This window comes from Homo sapiens, chromosome 19 (assembly GCF_000001405.40).
Source record: "Homo sapiens chromosome 19, GRCh38.p14 Primary Assembly".
NCBI classification, from domain to species: domain Eukaryota; kingdom Metazoa; phylum Chordata; class Mammalia; order Primates; family Hominidae; genus Homo; species Homo sapiens.
This window is the reverse complement of record NC_000019.10, coordinates 19,351,526-19,355,707: the sequence shown is the minus strand read 5'-3', so window position 1 is coordinate 19,355,707 and position 4,182 is coordinate 19,351,526. Positions and strand designations below refer to the sequence as shown.

General features: G+C 56.4%; 1 protein-coding gene across 5 annotated transcripts in view; it reads right to left on the bottom strand.

Moving 5' to 3' along the window:
• The window catches only part of MAU2 (MAU2 sister chromatid cohesion factor), a 37,926-nt gene that overhangs the window by 3,047 nt on the left and 30,697 nt on the right, over window positions 1–4,182 (bottom strand). For all 5 annotated transcript variants that reach the window (NM_015329.4, XM_005259837.4, XM_005259838.5 and 2 more), the window contains 2 exons: window positions 1,263–1,353; window positions 317–444 (listed from right to left, as the gene is read on the bottom strand). In NM_015329.4, the coding sequence (NP_056144.3) occupies window positions 317–444; window positions 1,263–1,353 (219 nt within the window). The remainder of the gene's footprint in view (window positions 1–316; window positions 445–1,262; window positions 1,354–4,182) is intronic.

Below are 4,182 nucleotides of genomic sequence, written 5' to 3'. Positions count from 1 at the left end.
CTGTGGGGAGGAGAGGACATGCGAGTGAGGCACTGTGGACCGTTCCCAGGGAAGAAGAGGTTGGAATGCTGCCTTCCTTGGGCTGCTCACACAGCCGGGACTCTGTTCTCCATGCCCCAGTCCAATGGGCCCCGAGGAGACACCTGGGTCCCTTGCTTGGGTGGGGGTGCCCATGGCCATCTCCCCCATCAAGGGATCACCTGAGGCTGAGTTAGGGTTTGTTGGACAAAAGAGAAATACAGCCAAGGTGCCCCTTCCTCTTGCAGGTGGGGAGCCCGCTAGTCCTGATCCCGTCCCCTAACACCCACACCCGTACCGTGATGAGGTTGTGTTCGGGGAGGCTGCAGGCCTCAATGTGGTCCTGGAGCAGCTGCTGCGAGAAGTTCTGGTGCATCTGGGCGGCTTCATGGGCATCCATGGCGTTCCCACAGGCTTTATTCAGGTCTGAGAGTGGGACATGAGCATGGGGGCCCGCCTTGCCCTGTCACTGCCCAGGCCCTCCCACTCGGTGCAGATGGAGCCCTAAGGTCAAGTCCCAGCTGCACTGGTGGATCTCTGGGTGCCTGGCACGTCACTGGACCTGAGCCCTGTCTTGGGATCACAAAGCCCATGCGCCAGCCGCCCTCATAGGGCAGAACAGGGCTGGCTGGGCAGTGAAAGCCCAATGCCAGGCTTCTCGCCAGCCCTCCAGGGAGCCCATGGCCAGCCCTCAGGCAAACAGGCGCTCATTGGGGCAGGACGCCCAATGCCCATCCTGAGGCAGCAGCCCCAGGCAGCCCACTGCACATGGAGCACCCCGTCTCCTGTCACCTCCCCAGGGCCCCAGGCGAGTCTCCGGACCTTAGTTTCGTAATCTGGAAATGGGGGAGCTGCGGTAACAGCAATGATACCCGCTGAGTGCCCGCCCTGCTCCCAGAGCTAGCTGGCCAGCCCTACCCAATAGGTATGGCTGCTGTCTGCCTTTCCGGGAAGAAGCAAGGCTGAGAGCGCCACGGCTAACAGCCCAAGTCTACCAGATACCAAGTCGCAGCCTCTGTGTCCTATAGAGACTGAACCAGACCCCGAGTCAAGCGGATGCCACAAATGCACCCACTGCCCTCAACCAGGGTCTCCTGAGGAGCACCCCCTACCCATGCTAGAACTGGGGCTGCGGCCCACGGAGGCCTAGTCCGAGCTAAGGCTGAGCAGGACATGCCCAGCAGCCTTGATCTCTGGGGAGGGCCAGGCTGGGGCTGGGGAAGAGGGGTGGCCATTGCACTCACCTCTCAGCAGTGCTGACGACCACAGCTGTACCGACATGTCCGGGATCTTGCTGGCGAGCTGCATGGCAGGCACCACCATGTTGTTACTCTCCTGTCAACCAAGAGCAGCAAGGGGGAGTGAGGAGCCTGGACCCCACTTGCCGAACCCAGCCCAGGTTGGGGTGGGGATAATCTGGAACCCACCTACTGAACCCAGCCCAGGTTGTGACCTCCTTCTGCGTCTGGTGAACTCCTATGCTTACCTCAGAGCCCATCTCAAATGGCCCTCTCTGAAGTATCACTGAAAAACAAACTGCCCTCACTTCTGGCTCATGCCCTCACAGGGGCATGGCCAATGGACAACTTTGGGGGCTTCTACCTGTTCAAGCAGAGAAAAAGCACTGATGGCCGTTAGCCCTAGACCCACAATGGGGGCTGATCAGAAATGCAGATTCATATAGGGTTCCAGGTTTCAGGTTCTGAGAAGGGCAGCAGCCCCTCCGGTTTGTCTTCCACAATTGAGTTGGCTCTCATGGGAGGCCCCCGCAGACACGCAGGGGCTCTGGGGGCACCAGCATGTAAGAATCCTCCAATCCGGACTCCCTGCTTTGTGACTGCACAGGGCCACCCCAGTTGCAGCCCTAGCATCCTCAGGATGTGGCAGGAAGAGCTCAGTAAGAGCCATCAGGGCCCATAAATGCCCATCCCTGTTGCTATGGCAAGGGCCTGGAGACGGCAGACAGGAGCCTGTGCTACACAGGCGACCAGCAGTGCTGGACTGACCCTGTCTGGACCGAGGACTCAAAGCCCTGTAAGCCTGGATGTGGGGTTCAGGTAAGACCTGGAAAATTCCCTAGATGATGGCTCCTGGCAGCCCAGGGAGCACTTGGGAAGCCAAGATGGACACATCCCCAAAACCAACTCCTGAGACCTGGCTTTGACGCCACCAGATACTTCTCCAGAGTGCAGAGATGCTCCTCCTGAGACACAAAGCCCAACAACTCTACACTGCCCTGTAGCTGCACCTTGAAAGTGAGCTCCAGGTGGGTCTTGGAGCTTTTTAAAATTCACCAAGCCCTTTTGAAACCTCAGAGCAAGAAAAACTGCTCTCTTCCGCTAGGCCTGGCTTATTGTGAGCCTGGCTGGGCTCCCTGTAGAAAGCCAAGGACCTCTGTCTGAAAGCAGCCTGGGGAAGGAGAGTCCTCCTTCAGCGCTCCTGGGTAGGTTCCCCCAATGCCAGCTTGGGGTACCCCACAGAATCTGGTTTTGAAGACTTGAGTGATCCTGGGGGGTGTCCCGCTCTTGTGGACACTCTAGCCTAACAGGCTCAGGACAGGGCATCCCAAGCTCTTCTGGGCCCCTGGACCCTCACCTGAGCCCATTGTGGCCATTCAGCCGTCTGCTCCGGCACTTGTGCTCTGACTGCTGTGGTGCCCATCTCTGTGGCAGCCCCTGCCTAGCCAACCTTGCCCTGCCTGCACCAACACTATCCCGGCCCCCAAGGCTGCCACCTTTCTGGATGTCCCCAGCCTGACCTCACAGGACTGGCTTGGCTGTGTCTGGCTGTGTCTCCCCGAGATCTGGAGTCACTTAAGGCCAGGACCTTGGTCTGAGAGTTCTTGGGCGCCGCTTGTCACCCGACAAGGGCCCAGGGACACAGGGAGCAGAGGGGGATTCCCAAAAGAGCTCTGTAAGATGCCCCCACAACACCTAAAACATGGGCCAGGAGCAGCAGTGAACCAGCTGCTCAACCCTCCTTGCCCTGCTCCAGGCAGCTTCCAGGGGTTTCTACACAAATCAGAGCCAGTGAGGTCTGGGTTCCAGTCCTGATTCTGCGGTCTGGGGCTGTGTGACTTTAACCTCCCCATCTGACACACCCCCAGGCCACTTGCACTGTCCAGTGGGGACATACAGCCCTCACTGTGCTCAGAGGCTGAGGGCAGGGTGATAGCACATTCTAGAAGGAGCCAGCTACAGGTTTTGACGGGGTAGTGGCATCCCCAGTGCTGAGGCCAAGGCCCACCAGGGCCTGAGCTGCAGGGCCCATTCGCTGGCCTCTGCAAAGGCTTACCACACAGTTATGTGTCTGTGTGTTGCGGTGGGCGGGCACCACGTTTGTTAACAGCATCCATGCTGAGGGAGCCCTCAGATCACGTGAAACTTTACAGGCCAAGACACACATCTTGCTTTATCTGTCCTGTGGAAATGGCTACAGTGAGAATGGTTAAACTACAGAGTAGATGTGGCTTCAAAACACTCATTGCCATTAAGAAAAAAAAAAAAGCTTCCAATACAGAGGTGTGGAGAAAGGCAAATATAAAATTACCCAGTGGCTCACGTCTGTAATCCCAGCACTTTGGGAGGCTGAAGTAGGCAGATCACCTGAGGTCAGGAGTTTGAGACAAGCCTGGCCAACATGGCGAAACCCCATTTCTACTAAAAATACAAAAATAAGCCAGGTGTGATGGTGCTCGACTGTAATCCCAGCTACTCGGGAGGCTGAGGCAGGAGAATCCGTGGAACCTGGGAGGTAGAGGTTGCAGTGAGCCGAGATCACACCACTACACTCCAGCCTGGGCAAGAGAGCAAGACTTCATCTCAAAAAAAAAAAAAAAAAAAAAAAAAAAAATTACCAAACAGGCTGACAAGCAAAACCTCCACGTGGGAGACGTGGGCAGTGGGAAGGGATGGATGACAGAGACATGCAATTTTTTTCTGTTTTGCTTCTCAGCCTTTTAATTATGAACATGTCATATTTTATAATCTAGAAAAATAACTTTTTTTTTTTGAGACGGATCTCACTGTGTTGTCCAGGCTGGAGTGCAGTAACATGATCACAGCTCACTGCAGCCTCAACCTCCTGGGCTCAAGTGATCCTCCCACCTCAGCCTCCCAATTAGCTGGGACCACAAGCATGAGTCCACACACCCAGCTAATTTTT